The 19,954-nt window shown below is 48.5% G+C and overlaps 1 protein-coding gene across 4 annotated transcripts in view, besides 2 other annotated features; it reads left to right on the plus strand.

Annotated features, from left to right (window-relative positions):
* Positions 1 to 19,954, plus strand: part of IGSF21 (immunoglobin superfamily member 21) — a 270,686-nt gene that overhangs the window by 232,310 nt on the left and 18,422 nt on the right. The window lies entirely within an intron of this gene.
* Positions 6,234 to 6,735: an enhancer, noted in NCBI's record as "H3K4me1 hESC enhancer chr1:18672835-18673336 (GRCh37/hg19 assembly coordinates)". NCBI's record gives its function as "activates a minimal SCP1, AML or CMV promoter by ChIP-STARR-seq in naive H9 embryonic stem cells {active_cell/tissue: H9 hESC(naive)}" and the evidence as "EXISTENCE:reporter gene assay evidence [ECO:0000049][PMID:30033119]".
* Positions 6,736 to 7,235: an enhancer, noted in NCBI's record as "H3K4me1 hESC enhancer chr1:18673337-18673836 (GRCh37/hg19 assembly coordinates)". NCBI's record gives its function as "activates a minimal SCP1, AML or CMV promoter by ChIP-STARR-seq in naive H9 embryonic stem cells {active_cell/tissue: H9 hESC(naive)}" and the evidence as "EXISTENCE:reporter gene assay evidence [ECO:0000049][PMID:30033119]".

Consider the following 19,954-nt stretch of genomic DNA (forward strand, 5'->3'; position numbering starts at 1 on the left):
TTTGCATTTATTCATTTGTGTGTTCATTCATTTAACATATATTTATTGAGCACCTAGTACATTGCAGGCACTGTTGTGTGCACTGGAGTTTCCAATGAACAAGGAGGACAAAAAAAAAACCAAACAAACAAAAAACTGGTCCTCACAGACAGTGCAATAGGGGAGGCAGAAGATGAGCAAGTGAAGAGATGGGGAGACAAATGGGATGTCAGTGGGTGGTAAAGCAATGTCAGGAAAAACCCATCAGGGATGGGGCTGTTCTAGGTCAACGTGGCCTCTCTGAGAAGGTAACATTCAAAAGAGGTGAGCTATATGGACTTCATTCATTCATGTCAGTGATTCAGTGACTTACTGAGCATTCCCCAGGTGCCAGGCACAATTCTAGGTGCTGTGGATACACTGACAATAAGACAAGGTCCTTGCTCCCTGGACTCACATTCTCTAAGGGAAATAGCTTCATGGTACAGAGGACGAAACTAGTTTCTGGGGCTTCCCATAGCAAATTGCTGCAAACTGGGTGGCTTAAAACCACAGCAATGTATTGTCTCACAGTGTTAGTCCTAGAAGCCTGAAATCAAGGTGTCAGTAGGGCCATGCTCCCCATGCAAGGGAAAAATCCTTCCTTGTCCCTCTGCTTGCCTCTGGTGTTGCTGGCAATCCTTGGAGTTCCCTGGCTTATAGATGCATCACACCGATCTCTGCCTCTCTCATCATATGGCCTTCTCTCTCTGGCTCTGTGTTCCTGTCCCTGTGTTCAGATTTGCTTCTGCTTCTGCCCCTGCTTCTGCTTCTTCTCCTTCTCCTTCTCCTTCTTTCTTCTTTCCTCCTCTTCTCCGTCCTCCTCCCCCTCCCCCTCCTTCTTCTCCTTCTTCTTCTCCTTCTTCTTCTCCTCCTCCTCCTTCTTCTCTTCTTCTTCTTCTTCTTCTTCTTCTTCTTCCTCTTCCTCTTCCTCTTCTTCTTCTTCTTCTTCTCCTCCTCCTCCTCCTCCTTCTCCTCCTCCCCCTCCTTCTCCTTCTTCTTCTCTTTTTTTTTTTTGTGTGTGTGAGACAGTCTTGCTCTGTTGCCCAGGGTGGCCTCAAATGCCTGAGTTCAAGCAATGCACTCACCTTGGCCTCCCAAAGTGCTACAGGCATGAGACACTGTGCCCACCTCAACAGATTTGCTCCTTATAAGGACATCAGTCATTGAATTAGGACTCACCCTAATCCAGTGTGACCTCATCTTACCTTTAGCACAATTGCAAGGACCCTATTTCCAAATAAGGTTACATTTATACGGACTGTGGGTCAGAACTTCAACACATCATCTTCAGGGACATAATTCAACCCACAGCAGTAACTGAGTCAGGATGTAGCACACCAAGATTCCCTGTCTGACTCTGAAGCTGACACTCTCTGCTCCCAACCCCGTGGGTCACCCTTCGTTGGGCACTGACTAATATGCAGGCGCTGTGCTAAACTCTTCTTGTGTTAACTCACTGAACACTCACAAAAGCTCTGCAAGGTGAGTACTATCACTTTCTCTTTAGCAGATGAAGAAATTGAGAGGTAATGTCACTTCCCTACATCACCCAGCCAGTGTGTGGCAGGGCAGGGGTATATAGCCATCCTGCATGTTAACATCTCTGCTCCTCCAGAAGTTTACCAATGAGTAGGAAGCCCAGACTCATAAAGTATTGGTACACATTAATAAAATGTTCTATCTTGGGATCCTTGTCTCTCTTCTGGAAGCTTCCAAGTGAGGTTGGCAGATGAAGTAGACTTTTGGAACCTGAGGCCAGAGTGGCAACAAACCACACCATATGCTTTGCAAGTCTGGAGCCAGGAAACACAGCTTCCACCCCAAAGAACAGATGTTAATGAACTTTACATGACGTTTCTGGTTGGTTTGTCTTTTTTCAGTATGTTCTACTGATTTTTATTAAGTGTGCCTGGTGCATTTTCCTTGTTTTTTTTTTTTTTGTTTGTTTGTTTGTTTGTTTGCTCTGTTTTGTTTTGTTTTGTCTTGAGACAGTCTTGCTCTGTCCCCCAGGCTGGAGTGCAGTGGCATGATCTCAACTCACTGCAGCCTCTGCCTCCAAGGCTCAAGAGATTCTCCTGCCTCAGCCTCCCAAGTAACTGGGGTTACAGACATACACCACCATGCCTGGCTAATTTTTCTAGTTTTAGTCGAGACGAGGTTTCTCCATGTTGGCTAGGCTGGTCTTGAACTCCTGACCTCAAGTGATCCTCCCGCCTCGGCCCCCCAAAGTGCTGGGATTACAGGCATGAGCCACCAAGCCCGGCCCTTTGGTTTTTCTAAAATATGGTTTTATTGAGATACAATTCCTATAACATGCAATCCGCTCATGTAAAGTGTAAAAAACAGTGGTTTTACCATATTCACAGAGTTGTGCCTCTACCACCACAATCAATTTTAGAACATTTTCATCGTCCTCCAAAGAAACCCTGTACCCATCAGCAGTTACACACCACCCCACATTGTCCCTCTTCTCCTCAGTCATAGGCAGCCACAAACACCCTTTCTGTCTCTATAGATTTGCTGGTTCTGGATATTTAATATGAATGAGATTATACAATATGTGGTCTTTTGTGGCTAGTTTCTTTCGCTTTGCATAATGTCTTCAAGGTTCATCCATATTGTAGCAGGTACCAGTACTTCATTCATTTTCAATGCTGAATAATATTCCTTCATATGGATAGATCGCGTTTTGTTTATGCATTCCTCAGTGGATGGAAATCTGGGTTGTTTCCACTTTTTGGCTATTATGAACAATGCTGCTATAAACATTCACGTGCAAGTTTTTGTGTGAATGTGTAGTTTCAGTTCTCTTGGGTATGTATCCTTGGAGTAGAACTGCTGAGTCAAACAATGACTCTGCATTTAAATTTCTGAGAAGCTTCCAGACAGTTTTCCACAGTGGCTGCACTGTGTTATATTCCCACCAACTGCATATGAGTCCCAACTTCTCCACATCTTTGTCGACACTTGTTACTATCTCTCTTTTTGAATATAGCCATCCTAGTGGATCCTAGTGAATGTGGAGTGATGTCTCTTTGTGGCTTTGATTGGCATTTCCCTCAGGGCCAATGACACTGTACGTCCTTTCCTGTGCTTCTTGGCCATTTGGACATCTTCTTTGGAGAAACATCTACTCAGAGCCTTTGGTCATTTTCAATGGCCTTATTTTTCTTTTTATGATTGAGTTGTAAGAGTTCTCTATCTGACCTACATGTAAGTCCCTTATCAGGTGTATCATCTGCATATTTTTCTCCCATTGTGTAGATTGTCTTTTTACTTTCTCCATGGTGTCCTTTGAAGGACAAAATGTTTTAATGTCAATGAAATCCAGTTTATCTATTTTTTCTTTTGTCACTTGTGCTTTTCGTGTCTATTTAAGGAGGCTTTGCCTAACTCAATCTCACAACTTACTCCTGTATTTCTCTTCTAGGAGTTTGTATAGTTTTAGCTCTTACAGTTAAGTTGATGATGCATTTCAAGTTTATTTTTATATATGGTGTGAGGGAGGGGTCCAACTTCATCATTTGCATGTGGATGTCTGGTTGTCCCAGCACCATTTGTCGAACACACTATTCTATCCCCATTGAATTATCTTGGCATCCTTGTCGAAAATCAATTGACTGTGAAAGTGCGAGTTTATTTCCAGACTCTCCATTCTGTTTCACTGCTCTATATGTCTATCCCTGTGCACGTCTGGTGCTTTTCTAACCATCTGCCACCTCCAGCCTGGCTGTTACTCTCCAGCTATGTGACTTTAGGCAATGAGTTTCACAGGAAGCTCTCCTGTTCAGTTTCTCGACCTTTCCCCTTAAAAGAAACTTACCCTGGGACTGGTGAGGGTTCCCAGAGGAAAAGAGGGTACAGAAGGTCCTGGGGGTAATGAAGGCTGAGTCTACTTCCAGGAGGCCCAGCCAGAACCTTGGATTTCTGGAGAGCTGGATTCTTGCTTTCTAAGACCAGATTCTTGAACGTGATTCTCTGGAATCCCAGCCTGGCACTCCCCTCTGGAAAAAGAAGCAAATTTCCAGGACCAATAATCAGAGTGCCAAGAACTTCTCTCTTTTCTTTTCCACTCTGTCACCCAGGCTGGAGTGCAGTGGTGCAACCATAGCTCACTGCAGCCTCAACCTCCCAGGCTCAAGCAATCCTCCTGCCTCAGCCTCCCTAGTAGCTGGGACTATAGGTGTGTGCCACCATGCCTGGCTAATTTTTAAAAATTTTTGTAGACACAGGGTCTCACTCTGTTGGTCAGGCTGGAAGAACCTCTTTTGACTTGGGAAGAAGAATACACTATACCTCCAAGTGAGCTAAGGAGATCTGAGGGCTGAGGGCAGACCTCACCCCTCTCAGAGGTCTGCTGATCTCCTGTAGGCCTGAGCAAAACAGAAGTAACACCACTCTGCTTCTCTGGGGGACAGCAATGGGAAAGCAGAGTTCAGTTTGCAGAATCCCCTTTCAAGAAGGCTGTCTGTGCACAGGACAGCTGTGGGGGAAGTGGGGCTTCTTCCAAGCAAAGCCGCCATACAATGGTGTGTATGGTGGTCCAAGGGGCAGGGTAGGTCAGTGGAGGGAGGCTGCCAGTCTGAGATCCCTGGGAAATCCCCAGAAAGGCAAGATTCAGAGCCTCAGCTACCTCCTTTCCCAGGATGTCTGCTGGGTGGAAAATGATCAGCTCCTTCCTCTGTCTTAGAGCCTGAGTGGATGAACCACCTGCCAGACTTGGGCTAATTACATTAACTGGCTCCAGGCGATTACTGTGGCCACAGACTCCAGGGAGCCAGGCTGCTGCTCCACAGGGGAAGCGAGGAGGCTGCAGAGGGAGGCATGGGCTGGCTGGGATCCAGGCCAGAGCTGCAGAGAATTCCCAGAGCACTGAAGGGGAGGAGGTATGAACACGAGCTTCCACCTCTTACCCCAGAAACCCCCAGGGTCTGAGGACCAGGCTGGGGCTACTCTTATTCCCCAAGCAAAAGCCTGGACAAGCCCATTCCCAAGCCCTCTCCCTCTGCCTGCACTCCTTCTTACCAGTCTGGGTGAGTGACATGCAGATGCCCAGCCCCTCCAAACTAGAAAAGGTGGAGGCTAGATAATCCCCCACTGGAGAATGATCTCTCTAGTAAATTAGCTTGACCATAAATGGAGTTTAATTCCTTAGAGAGTTGAGGAGTGGCTAAGGGTATGGGCTTTGGATTCAGACATGACTTTTCTACCAGCTTCTGCAACTAATAGTAATAAAAGTGTTTAATGTTTGCTTGTTTTTTTATTTATTTATTTGAGACAGAGTCTCACTCTGTCGCCTAGGCTGGGGTGCAGTGGTGCAGTCTTAGCTCAATGCAACCTCCGCCTCCTGAGTTCAAGTCATCCTTGTGCCTCAGCCTCCTGAGTAGCCAGGATTATAGGCGCGCACTACCACGTCCAGCTAATTTTTGTATTTTTAGTAGAGACATGTTTCTCCATGTTGGCCAGGCTGGTCTTGAACTCCTGACCTCAGATGATCCAACTACTTCGGCCTCCCAAGTTGCTAGGATTACAGGTGTGAGCCACCGCACCCGGCTATGGTTAATGTTTATTGAGCATTTACTATATACCAGGGACTGTTCTGCTTAACACCTGCTATATCATTTATAACAGCCTTCTAAGGTCGATTCTGTGATTACTTTATCCATTTTACAAATGTGAAAACTGAGGGGTTATAAAATGTGCCCAAGGACACAGAACTAGAATTCAAACCCAGGCAGGCTGCCTGCCAAGCGCAGGGACCCAGCCACTATGCTCCCCCACCTCTCACTGGAATGTGGCTTTTGAAAGTTTATTTCATTTCCCTAGACCTCAGTGTCCCTTTTTGCTGAATGGGGGTTACAGTAGCACCTGTTGGGGCATGAAATGTAACAGACAAGTGAAGGGCTGTGTCCATAGCTCACAGTGAGTGCTCTGGAGGAGGAAAGCTGTTCTTACTTCCTACGTATTTGGCTTCAACCCTCACCCTGTAAATGTCAGTGGAGTTGAGGGTAGGGTCAGAACTATGAGAAGTGACAATGGCCCTGTGGGAGCTCTCAAAGCCAGGCAGTGACATCTGTGGCCTCCCACCCTGGGTGCTGGCAAAGGTGGTCAGGAAAGAGGATGCAGCCAGCAGCCCGGAGTCCAATCACACGCCCTCCACTGTCTTGCTGTGGCTTTTCCTTTCCAAGCCTCAGTTTCCTCTTCTGGAAACTGAAGGTAATCATGCTTTTTACCCTATGGGCTGTCTCAAGGAATGAATAAGATGGCACGTTTGGGCGTAGAGGAAATGCTTGGCCCAGATGCTGGCATCATTGTTAGGACAGGGCAGGAAGTTAGAAGAACAGAGACGATAGGAGCCAACTTAGGACAATAAATGCAGTGGCCGGACATAAGAGGCCTTTCCAAGCAGAAGCCACAGGACATGGGGACCAATTGGAAAGATGGGAACAGATGTGGAGACACGGCGGACCTGGCACTGGATGGAGATGGTCCTCTGAGAAGGTTCCAATGCAACCACGTGATCTCACTCAGCAGCCAGCGATCGCAGAAAATGGGCCGTTGGGGTGGAGAGGCCAGGGCCTATGGACCTCTACAGGCCTCCTCCCTGCCAGCCGGAGCTTCTGAGAAGGGCAGCAGAATGAGAAGTGGGGGGCCTGAGACAGCTGGCTGTGCTGAGCTACCAAAGCTGGCTGGAGTGGGGGCTGCAGCCCACAGGACTGAGGCGGGAGTGGTCAGGGGCCCCTGAGCTGGATGTGAGCATGTTCAGAGACGGGACACTGTCGTCTTGAGTGCCTGGACCTGGTCAGGGAGCTGGAGGAAGGACACCCATGCTGCTCGCCTGCCTGCCACGGACCTCCCAGCCAGCTGAGGTCACCGGCTGAGCGCCAGTTGAGAGAGGGGCCAGACAGATGGGTTTGGGGCTCGGAGGAGCATTTTGAAGCTAACTGGGTCATCTAGCAAGAACGGTCACTTCCCAGCATCAGCCCCAAAGGTCCAAGCCTGCTGACTGCCTCCTGGACAGGCTTCTAGAACCCTCCCTCCCTCCCTCTCTGAACACAGTTCTGCAAAGAAGTGCCCTTGACCATAGCCCACCCTCACCCAGGAACAGGCCCAGCTCATTCCACCAGCTGTCCCTCTAATCCCCCTACAGCCTGCAGGGCAGAGCCTGTGGTGCCTCAGTGTGAGTGCCCACAGAGGTCAGGAGACATGCCCACTGTCCCACAGCAGTGAGTGGCGCTGAGATTGGAGCTCAGGTCTTCTGGGACCAGAGCCCTTGACGTTCCCACTCCATGAAGCTGTCAGGAAAACAGAGGGACATCCACCTCTCTGAGTGTGGGACAATGTGGTAGCCATATGGACCTCTGGATCAAGGGCCTCCCAACAGTCCTGGAATTCAGTGGGGTGGGGATCTGTATCCCCATTTTACAGAGAAGAAAACTGAGTCTGCTAATAAAAGGAAGGCTAGAGTTTGAATCTAAATATTCTGATTGCCACTCTCCTTCCGTGGGGATCTGAGGCCCTGAGCTCGGGAGGGAAGCGAGGCCTTTGAAACCTCTGACCCATTATTGTGACTGGATGAAGCAGACAACCCAGTCAAGCAGCACACAGTTTTTGGTGCATCTTGTCCCTGGGGAATAGAGCTAGCAGACTGTCATCAGCCTCTCTCCAAGGGAACTCGGAGCCTAGAGTGGAAACAGACCACTTGCTCTTTCGTTTCTCATGCTTACAAATCCTTTGATTCAAGCAATATTTGTGAGCACCTACTGTGCACCTGCTGTGGGGGGAGCACTGAGAGAGTCCCATCTCCCTCAAGGTAGCTATACAAATTAGAAATTCATTTTGATATAGGACAGCCAGGATACAGTCTAATAGCAATGAATTTTTCAGTTATAAGGTACCAAATGTTGCTCCAGGCACTTAAATATATAAATTCATTTAATCCTCACAATCCTTAGGAGATGGGTATTTCTAGTATTCTTATTTTAATAAATGAAGAAATTGAGACCCAGAGAGGTTAAGTAACTTGCCCAAGGTCACACAGTGAGTAAGTGGCAGCGTTTGTTTTCAAACCCTGATTGCCTAGCTTGGGAGCTTCTCTACAGCCTCTCAAGAGATGGCCCATTGAGCCCTCCTGAGCCAACTGAAGGGATTCATCTGCTTCTGGAATTATCTAGGCAGGTGTCTGAAGCCCCCTGGGGCCCTCACCAACTCCCTGGACCTTCTGTGTCTCACATACCAGGGCTCCCCTCTTGTTCCAGAGTCAGATCAGCTTCAGCCTCCCAGGCCCCGCCAGAGCAGGCCTGCAGGTGCATCATTAAACCTTGACAAGTGTGAGGTCAGTACGATGCTTTATCCTCTCCACCCCTGGGAGCTGGATTTAGTGGCTCCAGCAGAAGGTAAACTTCCCCTCCCTGGAACAGGCCCTTTAATTACTAGTGATATGTGGCTGTTGAAACTGCAGTGCCTCGGGCCCAGTGATTTAAGGGGCAGGCAGGAAGTGGAAGTTACAGGTGTTAACAGCTGTATCAGGAGCTGGGAGAGCAGGGATCACAGCCTGAGGAGGCTATAGCTGCCTCTGGAGGAATGCTGCTCACAGGCACTCTTAGGGAGAGAGAGGTGATCCTACTGCCTCAGGTACAGGTACAGAAAGGGAGACTGAGGCCAAGATCACACTGCAAGTCGGCTTGGTATGAAGCTCAGCAGCCCTGACTTTGCTGCCAACTTGCAGTGAATCCCTGGACTCAGTTTCCCCATCTGCATATGAGAAGCTCATGTGCTGTAGAGAAGCTCCCAAGCCAAGCAATCTGGGTTTGAAAACCAACTCTGAGGCAGGAAGACTTCACTCACTCCCTAGGAGCAATAATCACAATAATTTTCATAACAAAAGCTAGCACTGATTGAGTGCTCACTGAGTGCCAGGCATTATACTAAGTTCTTTAAGAGCTTTCTTTGGTTTAATTCTCATAACAGCTACTGAGGTGGTCATTCTTGTTATTCCCATTTTTACAGAAGAGGAAACCGAGGCTCAGACAGAAGAAGCAACTTACCCAAGACCCCGTGACTTAGGGAGTGACCAAATGGAGTGTCCAAGCCCCTCTCTCTGAAGCCAGAGCTTGGCCTCTCTGCTCTGGGACTTAAGGTCCAGTGTTGGCCCTCAAGGAGTCCATGAATGATGGGTGAGAGAGAGAAGGGCACAGGTTTCCAGAATTCCAGCAGAAGAAAAATAAGGATGATGGGGGAGGACTAGGGTGCAAGCTAAGAGATGAGGAAGGAGGGAGTCCTTCCTCCAGAGGAGGGCATCAGGAAGGCTTCATGGAGGAGGTGGCATGGAGCTGGGCCTAGCAGGCTGGTGAAGAGATAGGACAGGAGGCGCTGCAGGCAGAAGGAGCTATATAGGCAACAATGAGGGGCAGAAAAGCATGGCAAGAGGGGGCACCCCTGCATGGCAGGAACCCAAGGCATGAGAAGGGGCAGGGAGTAACATATCATCCATCACAACAGCACTCACCACAGCAGCACTCACCACAGCTGACATTTATTCATCACTTGGCAGGTGCCAGGTGTGGGTCTACATACTTTACGTAGTGCTCACAAGATCCCTAGAAAGTAGATCTTGTGATGATCCCATTTCACTGGTGAGGAAACTAGCCAAGCGCAGTGTGCCTCATTCCTGTAATCCTAGCACTTTGGAAGGCCGATATGGGATGATCTCTTGAGCCCAGAAGTTCAAGACCAGCTTGGACAACATAGGGAGACCCCATCTCTTAAAAAAAAAACCACTAAATTACAAATATAACAAATCACACGACGAAAATGAGGTGCAGCAGGGATAAGTGGCTTGCCAAGGTTACCCAGCTGGTAGGTGTCCGAAGCACGATACAATCGTCAGCCCTGGCCCTGAGCCCATGGAAGGTCCACTGCTGTGCCCAGTCCTGAGGAAGCAGTGGGTGGTGAGGAAAGGGCCCTCGCTCCTCCAGGCTGTCATGGTCCCTGCTCACCCACTGTCCACTTGGCTTGGCCACAGGCAGAGAGGGAAGGAGAGACCCTGAATCCAGTGCCATCCATCCATTGGATATGGGGAGCCCATGGCCAGGATGCCTCAAGAGCCAGATGGGCCAGGGGACTCTCCCTGCAGTAGCCTGTGGGTGGGGAGCAGGAGTGAGGGTGGAGAGAGTACTTCCTAGGGAACAAAAGTGCATTCGAGGTCCCAATACCTGGGTCAGGGCAAGGCCAAGGGAAGAGGCCTCAGGCACTGGGTCTCTGAGACACCCTCACTCTCAATCAAGCCCTGCCACCCTGGCCAGAAGTTGTGTTCCTTTGGGAATGAGGCCTTGATCTGCCTCACCAAGCTCTTTACAAAGATGCAATCCAAGAGATATTCAATCAAGCAAACGCAGTTCAATGTTCATTGCAGAACCTGAGTGATGGGTGCATGAATGTTCATTGTACAATTACTTGAACTGTTTGGTAGGTTTGGAAATTTGCAGAGTCCAATGTCAAGGGGAAAAAAAATGCATCCCCCTCCCACAAAAAAAAATACCCCTCCCACAAAACGCCCTTCTCTACAGCTCCTCCCCACTCACCCACCTCATCTCCCCTGGAAATTGCTTTATGAGGAGCAAGCGGCAAGAATGATTTACTTGCTCTCTGACTCGGGAAATCAATCCTAAAACGCTGATAGGACAGGAAAGACGTGGCCACAGAGCCCCCCGGGAAATCTCCCGCTTGAAGGAAAGCTCTGAGCCAGGCCAGGAGTGCGGTGGGGGGTAGGGGCTCTGCAGGGAGATCGGCAGGCGTGGCCCAGTGGTGCTGGGAGTGGTCCAGAGACTGGGAGTGGCTCAGAGCACTGACCTGTGGAAACACGTGAGGACTTCTTACCACTGCCACATTTAGAGGACACGTGGGCCCTTCGACACCTTGTTCTGCACCTCTAACTGTCTGGATGAGGAAACCGAGACCCAGGGAGGGGGAAATGACGGCCATGTCGCAGAGAAAGTCCACGGCAACGCTGAGACGGAATCTTCAGCCCCCTGACTCTCGGTTGACACCTTTTCCCCTGACACAATAATAAACTAAAAAAGCCGTAACAACTAGAATTGCCTTTCTGCTCGCTAAGTGGCAGTACTTCATTCCCCACCCTCGCATGAGACAGCCACCCGTGCCATCTTCATTCTATGGGTGGGGGGGTAGGGGTGGGCAGGAAGCCATCAGTGGACTCAAGGACACACCGCTTCTAAGCAGAAGGGCTGTGACCTCGAGCCAGGTTTCCCAGGCCCTAGGCCTTCAAGGCCAGGGCTAAGCTCTGTTCTAAGCCTCAGAAAGCCAAGGCCTGTACACGGTTTTCCTGGAAGGGACAGAGGTTTTGCACGCTGGGGGAAGATGAAGAGGGGTCTCCCCAGAGCCTCCAAGTCCAGCCCACTGCTCTCTGGGGGGAGGACGGACGAGCAACAGCTTATAAGGAGCTGGTGCTCTGCTACTGGCCAGTTCTTGAATGTGCCTCCCTACCTGCCTCCCCAAGCTTCCGTGGGCTTCCAGAGGCTTCTCTCACAAAGCTGCAAGTATGGTACCTGGTGAAATCGCCCGTGTGTGTAATACTCACCTCTCAGATATATTGAAAACATCCCCCAAATTGGCTAGCTTTGCTGCTATTTAAAACAGATTCACGTTACACCCCATAGATTTCATCTCTGCAGACACGGCACCTGTCGTGGGGCTTAAACACATTCTCTCTATTGCTACATAAACTACAGAGCGGAGGCAGTTGCAGGCAGCGGCCACCCACAGGCTGCGGGGCAGGCTGCTTCCAGCCAGCAAAACTCCAGGAGCAGAGAGGATCTGCATGGGCCTAGAGGCCTAGGGGGCCAATCAGAAAACTGGAGACATTGACAAGTAGCCGATCAAGCCGTAAGTGGAAAGTTGCACCGGTTGTGGGGAGTGGAGCTTTGGGGATTTGAAGTCCTTTGATCCAATCAGCGTATAGGGCCAGGGAGGCTCCAGAGGGTTCTCTCCTGTGCCCCTCTGCTGAGGCCTGGGGTAGCCTGGCTAAGGTTCTCCAATTCCCCCAAGCCTTTCGTTTTCTATCAGTAATCATCTTCACTCCTGTTGACTGATCACCTACTATGAACCAAGCCCTTAGTTCACATAATTTAGTGGTTCTTAGGACCCTAATTTAGAGATGCACCAACTGAAGCTTACATAGATTAAAGCAGCGGTCCACATATTTGAACTTGGATTAGAATCTCAGGACTTGTTAAAACTCAGGGTGGGGACTGCCGGACCCCACCCCATCCCAGGTTGGGCAGGTCTGGAATGGGGATCAAGGATTTGCGTTTCTAATAAGCTCCCGGGTGATTCGGATGCTGGTGGTCCAGGGAACACACTTGGAGAACCACCAGGTTAAGGGACTAGTCTTGAAAATAGTGCTATAATACAAATCTAGATCCAACACAAGACGTCTGTGGCCGCCCACCACCCCTTTCTTTACAGGTGTGTGGCATTTTATTTCTCCACCAGCAATAGCCTCAGTTGGGTCCGCTCTGCCCGGCTTCACTGATTCACTGCCTAGAAGGCTGCCTTCCCTGTCTGCAGCACCCCCAGAGCAGCCAGCCAGAGCCTCCAGTTGGGGCTGTTAATTTTATCTTCTACCACTGCGAAAGCACAACAGCTGGCAGGGGAGGGGCAAGGCAGGTGAGCGGGTGCTTCCAGGCACCTCCCTGCAGAGCAGAGGCGGTGTGGGTGGATGACGCCCGCAGCCACTGGGATCCTTCATGAACCCGCTCCACTCAGAACGGCCCCCATCTCAGATTCCGGCAATGACCTGGACCCCGGGCCCCCCACCCCTCGCCACTGCACCAAGCACAGGAGCTCCCATGGCCGCTTTCAAGTTTGGGGGTGGGGCTAGATTCAGCTCAGCAGCTGCCACATAAAAGGGCCCATTGCAGCCCATATAAGCACAGACGCAGCGTTTATCTCTCCTGTCACTGATGGCGGCTCCATTTGGGGGCTTTTTGTTGTTGCTTTTTTTTTTCCCTTGGCTGCTGTTACTACTCAGTTCAATATTTAATTTTCCCATAAACCAAAGAGTTGCACTTTTTTTTCCCTCTCTCTTTTTCTTGCCGGGGACTCCCTTCCACTGGTGGGATCTGTCTCTTCGGGTCTCTGCTGGGAGAGAGGGGCTTAGGATGGGGCTGGAGATTTCAGCCCTTCCAACTTGGGCAGGGATTGGAGGGAAGGATGCCTGGGCCCTTCCCTCCAATCCATTCACTCATTCACTTGGAAAATACGTATTGAGCAAATCCTGGTGTGCCAGGCTCTTGGGTGCGGCCGCAGGTAAGAAGCCTTCCCTGACCTCGTGTTGCTTACATTCTAGTGAGGGTATCGGAGGAAAAGAGATGTGTGTGAACCAATATGTGAGATAATTATACACTGTGAGGTGCTCTGTGAAGAAAATATACAAAATGCTGGGGCCCCAAACAAAAGAGAGCTTAGCTTAGATTGAGGGGTGACATTTGAGCTGAGACTTCTTGAAAGTCCTGACAAGGCTCAGCCAGGCTAAAAAGCTGAGTGAAAGACTTCAAACAGGGGAAGCTGCACATGCAAAGGCCCTGTGGCTGGAAAGAGCTGAGTGTGTTCATAGACTCAAAGAGAAAAATGTCTCAGTGTGTTTGGCGCATGGTGATGGGAGGGTAAGTATTGGTCAAGGTGTAAGGGTTGGAGAAGGGAGCAAGGTCTACAGCACTGCAGGGTCTTCTGGAATTTTCTTCCACAGATGGGCTATGTGCTTTCCTGTGCTGGGAGAAATGAAGGAAACAAACAGACATTGAAATTGAACTCCTATTGCATGGCTGGTCGACACTAGCTCTGAGGCTAGGTGGAAGAAAGACAAAGCTCCAACTTCCAGGGAACACGCACTCTAGTGGGGAGACAGACGTTGACCCAGAACAGAATAACAAGTAGCAATGAGTATGAAAAGCACAGGGTGCTCCAGGCACCCAGAGGACAGGCTCTAACCCTGTCTGGAAAAACCTGGGAAGGCTGCCTGGAGGAGGCAACATCTGAGGCCAGCCTTAAAGGATGAGGTGGAGTTAATTAGCAGAAGGCCCAGTGTGTGCAGGGCACAGAGGAGATGAGCAAAGTGAAGAGGGAACCACAGGCAGCTCAGCATTGCTGAAGCAGGGAGGGCTTCCCAGAGGAGGTGCTCTTTTGAGCAGGTTCTTGAAGGAGCAGAGAGACAGGCTAGTGGAGATGATGGGGAAGAAACTAAGATGTGTGGAACCAAAAGAAAAAAAAAAGAAAGAAATTAAAGTAGGGAATATGGAGGGACATTTATATTCATGGACACTTTTATATTAAAAAGGTGGTTTTCTTCTTTTGTGAAATATGGTGTAATGACTAAGAGCTGATTGAAAAGGAAGGCAGTCAATAGAGCAGGCATGCTGAGAGGAAAGAATGGGTTTTTTTGCAAACAATATAATTTTGAACTTGTCTCTCCCCTCCCCCATCCCTCCCCCAAGCCTAATTGATTACCACCCCATGATGAATGACACTGGGAGCCAGAGTGTGCTAAGCACCTTCGTAGAGTGGTACCCAATGAGCTGGAGAGATTTTCCCTTCCTCGAGACAATGGTTACTCCTGGGAGGGAAAGAAATTCCCCTATACATTGTTCTCAGCCAAGAGAGGGGCGTGGGCCATTGGAGAGATAATATAATTAAAGCTTTCCTGTTTGCTCAGCACTTTGCTATCCTTACAGAAGGTTTATGTTTGCTTTCCTGTTTGCTCAGCACTTTGCTATCCTTACAGAAGGTTTATGTTTATTTTCCATTTGCTTCTCATCTCAAAAACCCTGGAAGCTGAGAGGCTGGCAGGGTATGTCTTATTGAACTCATTTGATAGATGGGAAGACTGATGACCACAGGCATCAACTGATTTGCCCAAAGTTCTATGGGATGTTGGGAGCAGAGCCTGGGCTAGAACCTTGGTCTGACTCTATTAGAGCCAGCACCCTGGGAGAAGTGGGAGCGGACCTCATGGAAGAGTATTTAACTCTAGTACTCACAGTTTGACACAGGTTTGGGGCAGATTTCCCTCTCCAACAATTCTGAGATTTATATCAGATCAGGTTTGTGTTCCCAAATTTCAAAGGCCACGGAATGATTTACAGAGCAAAGAGGAGCTGCTGCATTGTCTCCGAAGTGAGTTACAATGACCAAAATAACGTTCTGCTTTCAAGATAAAGACAGGCAATATTTCGGAGTTAATTTCATAAAACCGATCATCCAACCATTACCTCCCTGTGTCGATGTTAACTGTTGAGTCTAAAATAACTTCAACTCCTGCCTCCCTTGGTGGCCATGGAACAGGAGTGATGGAGGTTGGCTGTGACATACAGCTGTGTTAGATGGGAAGCCACTTTACCTTTCCCGATGCTAGAAAAAATTATTCATGGAAACTTCTAGCAGCAATTCTCTCCCCTTAAGGCACAGTAAAAAAAAAAACTAGAAAGTCAACTGGTTTGATTGGGGGTAGGGGCAGAGATCAGTGGATTTAAGGGAGTTTTATGGTGGTATCCTTGGTTGATCATCATGGTGGACTTATAGAATAGGGTCGGCCTTTCCTACTGCCCAGGTCTGGTGTTACACAAGTGGAATAATGTGTCTGTAAGTGGTTTGTAAATTATGAAACTCTGCCCATGTCTAGACTCTTTTTTTTTTTTTTTTTTTTTTTGAGACGGAGTTTCGCTCTTGTTACCCAGGCTGCAGTGCAATGGCACAGTCTCGGCTCACTGCAACCTCCGCCTTCCGGGTTCAAGCGATTCTCCTGCCTCATCCTTCTGAGTAGCTGGGATTATAAGCATGTGTCACCACACCCAGCTAATTGCGTATTTTTAGTAGAGAGACGGTTTCTCCATGTTGGCCAGGCTGGTCTTGAACTCCCGACCTCACGTGATCCACTTTCCTCAGCCTCCCAGAGTCCTGGGATTACGGGCATCAGCCCCTGCACCTGGCCTAGATTCTTACTATTACTAATACAATTACGACTACTGTTTATTCTTCCCCAAGCAAAATATGCCTGCTTGGTGTCTCTTCACCTTAGAAGGGTCATTTCAGATGAATGGTGCTGATGAGTGTGATGAGTGTGTTTACTCACCCACCCCCACCACACACACCCCAGAGAGCATTGCACTGCCACAGGCATTTCAGAAAACACAGCCTCAAAGTCCACAAAAATGAGGCACTGATGGTGGGAGCACTGGACATCATTGTCTACAGGTGATAACAGAAGAGTGGGAGGGAGATTGGTGAGCCAGGGGTCTTCGTTGATGATTCTTTGCCACCTGGATCTCCTGTGAATACAGTGGGACACAGGCAGGTGGCCTCACCTTACACTGCTCATTCTGTTACCTGACTTTGTATTTGGGATTATTCTGGCCCAGGAAGTCATGTAGAGTTGATATCTGTGTTCACAGCTGATCTCCCACCTTTGATTGAACACTTCCTGGGGCATGGGATCTATCCCAGGCATAGGACACATAAAAAGCTGCTGGCTTTTGACCTTGGCCAGAGACTGTAACAGTGATGGGAATGGCGATGAGAATGGAGATGGTATTGGGGTTGGGGATGGGATGGAAATAGAAATGAGAATTGAGTTGGAGATGAGGATAGAGATGTGATAGAGATTAAGTGTGGGGACAGGAATAGAAGTGGTGATAGGAATGGAGGTGGGATAGAGATGGGGGAGGAGATGGAGTTGAAGTTGGTCGTGAGATGGAGACAGAAATGAGGAGAGAATAGGGGATGGAGATTGAGGATGGGGAGGGATGGAAATGGAGCTGAATGTGAGGATAGAGACAGAGATGAGAATGGAGATGGAGTGGAGATGGGGATAGAAATAGGAATGGAGATGAGGATGGGGAAGGGGATGTGGATGAGGATGGGATGGAGATAGAGATAGAGGTGGAGATGGGCATGGGGTAAAGATAAGAATAGAGAAGGAGATTGAGATCGAGATGGGGAGGAGATTGAGATGGGGATGGGGATAAAGATGGGGGAAGAGATGGAGATGGAGATGGGAGTGGGGTTGGGGATGGGGGTAGATATGGGTTTGGAGATGAAGATGGGGTTGGGGATGGTGATAAAAACAGGGAAGGAGATGGAGATGAAGATGGAGTGGGGATGAGGGTGGAAATGGGGATAAAGATAAGGAAGGAGATGAAGATGGAGATGGGGATGGGGATATGGATGAATTGGGGAAAGGGATGGGGATGAGGATGAGGGTAGGGATGAGGATGGGGATGGGAACGGAGATGAGGGATGAGGTGGGCATGGGGATGGGAATGGAGATGGGGGATGAGGTGGGGATGGGGATGGGAATGAAGTGGAGGAGCAGGTGGAGAGGGGGAGTGGGGTGGGAATAGGAATATAAAAAGGGAAGCCTAAGTGAAGGAAGGCTTTTATTGGGCTATGAAACTGGCTTTTATTGGGCTATGCAGGCAGGAATGCCGTACTTGGTCAAGAGAAGGGAAAAAGAAAAATAGAAAAGAAGAGGGCGATGCTAATAGTGACTAGAAGAGTGAAGCATCTGTCAGGAGCCAGGGACTCCTGGATGGAGACGGCTCCCTGACTGCCGGCACTCAGAGCCCTCCACCAGGAGACAGGAGGTGAGATGCAGAGTGACATTTTCCTAGGACTCACTGATGGGAGTATATTGATGGGGAGGGTGTGGGAAGCCTGAGCTGTCCGTGCTGATGTTAACAGCTCTGCTATGTCATCGTCCATACAACTGAAATCTGTTATTGTCTTATGAGCTTGATTAACTGTACATATTGCTAATATAACGAGGGATGGAAACACAGCTCCAGTCAGGGTCTGTGTGGGTGGTGCGTGTGACTTAGGTGCAGATCTCCAGAGAGAGAGAGAGAGTGTGTGTGTGTGTGTGTGAATGTTTAGGGGGGTGAAGGGTGTAAGCGCCATGCTGTGCAAAGAATCCTAGCCAGGATTTGGAAGGCTAGGGGCCATTCCAGGCTCTGCCACTGACTTAGGGTATGATTGTAGCCAAACCTGTGCTTCTCTCTGATCTCAGTTTGCTTACTTATAAAATGGAAAGTCTAGACCAGAGTTGTCCAAGAGAAATATAATGTAAAGTACATATGTCACTGTAAGTTTTCTAATAACCGCATTAAGATAAGTTTAAAAAAGAAAAGGTGAAATTGATTCTAGTAATATATTTATTAAACCCAATATATCCAAAATATTATCATGTCAATATGTTATCAATATATCTTACGCTCTTCTTAAAAAATTAAGACTTCTGTTTTACACTTACAGCACATGTGAACTTGAACAAACCACATTTCAGGTGCTCCCCAGCCACATGGGGTGAGTGGCTGCTCTACGGGACAGCCCGAATCTAGGGCATTTTCTGATCTCCTCACTAAACTGTGAATGCTCCAAAGGTACGACCATGTTTTATTCTCCCAGTCCTTAGCAAGGAGGCTCAAATAAGAATGTTAGTAAATCACACTGACAATAAGCACAGCTGATATGTATTGGGTGCACTTTCAAAACACTTTGCAGGCACTACGTTACTGAATCTTCACAAGTACCTTACAATTCCATTTTTCAGATCAGGAAACCAGGCTCAGAGAGGTTAAGTAACTTGCCCAAGGTCACACAGCCAGTAAGTGGTACAGCTGATCTTTGAAATCTGGCTAGTCTGATCTAGAACCCACCTCCTTAGCCATTGTCCTGTACTACCTCCCTTATTTATAGTCATACACTAATTAAAATTGCTACCCTGCATTGCAGGTAACTTACATGTGCCATCACATTTACTCTTCAAAGCAAACCTCTTAGAAGCCAGGCATAGTGGCTCACACCTGTAATCCCAACACTTTGGGAGGCTAAGTTGGGAGGATCGTTTGAGGCCAGGAATTCAAGACCAGCTTGGACAATATAGCAAGACCCTAGCTCTACAAAACATAAAAACAAAAACAAAAACAAAACAGGCGTGGTGGCACACAACTGTGGTCCCAGCTACTTGAGAGGCCGAGGCAGGACAATTGATCACTTGAGCCCAGGAGGTCAAGGCTGCTGTGAGCCATGATTGTGCCAGTTCACTCCAGCCTGGGTAACAGAGCGAGACCCTGCCTCAAAAAACACAAAAAAAAAAGAAAAAGAAAAGAAAGAAAGAGAGAGAGAGAAAGAGAAAGAAAAAGAAAGAAAGAAAGAAAGAAAGAAAGAAAGAAAGAAAGAAAGAAAGGAAGGAAGGAAGGAAGGAAGGAAGGAAGGAAGGAAGGAAGGAAGGAAGGAAGGAAAAGAGAAAGAAAGAAAGAAAGGGAAGGAAGGAAGGAAGGAAGGAAGGAAGGAAGGAAGGAAGGAAGGAAGGAAAAGCAATCCTCTCCTCTCAGGAAGGTTCTAGGTGTCTGATCTCTGTTTGCTCAGTGAAGATAAGAAAGAATGAATGAGTGATTTTAAAGGAGTCGCCTGCCTGGTTCTGAGCCTCTAGGATTCTTGGAATGTATCCTGATACCTATTCACCTGCCATCACGAGCCATGCCAGAGTTTTATGCTAAGCTCTAACTGCAGAGGTCACTGATCTTTGGGGTAACTGAGTAACTAGAGCCACCCACAGCATCAGTTCCTGATGGAATTTGATTATAAGGCATCCATGGAAGGTAAGTGAATGTTCCTGGTGGTTCAAATGTGTACATACACCTAAAGGCACCAATAGATACAAGCTCCCTTTTTCTTCCCAAAGGTCGAGGTGGCTCAGCTTCATGTCAGAGGCTGGGCTCTGGAGTCAGACTGCCTGAGTTCAAATCCTGGCTCTTCCTCATACTGGCACCGTGAGTGAGTCTGAGCAAGTTGCTTCACCTCTTAATTTTCCCCATCTGTAAAATGGGAATAAATAAACCCAGCCTGTAGACTGATGGTG

The sequence above is a fragment of the Homo sapiens genome, chromosome 1, assembly GCF_000001405.40.
Source record: "Homo sapiens chromosome 1, GRCh38.p14 Primary Assembly".
Lineage (NCBI taxonomy): Eukaryota > Metazoa > Chordata > Mammalia > Primates > Hominidae > Homo > Homo sapiens.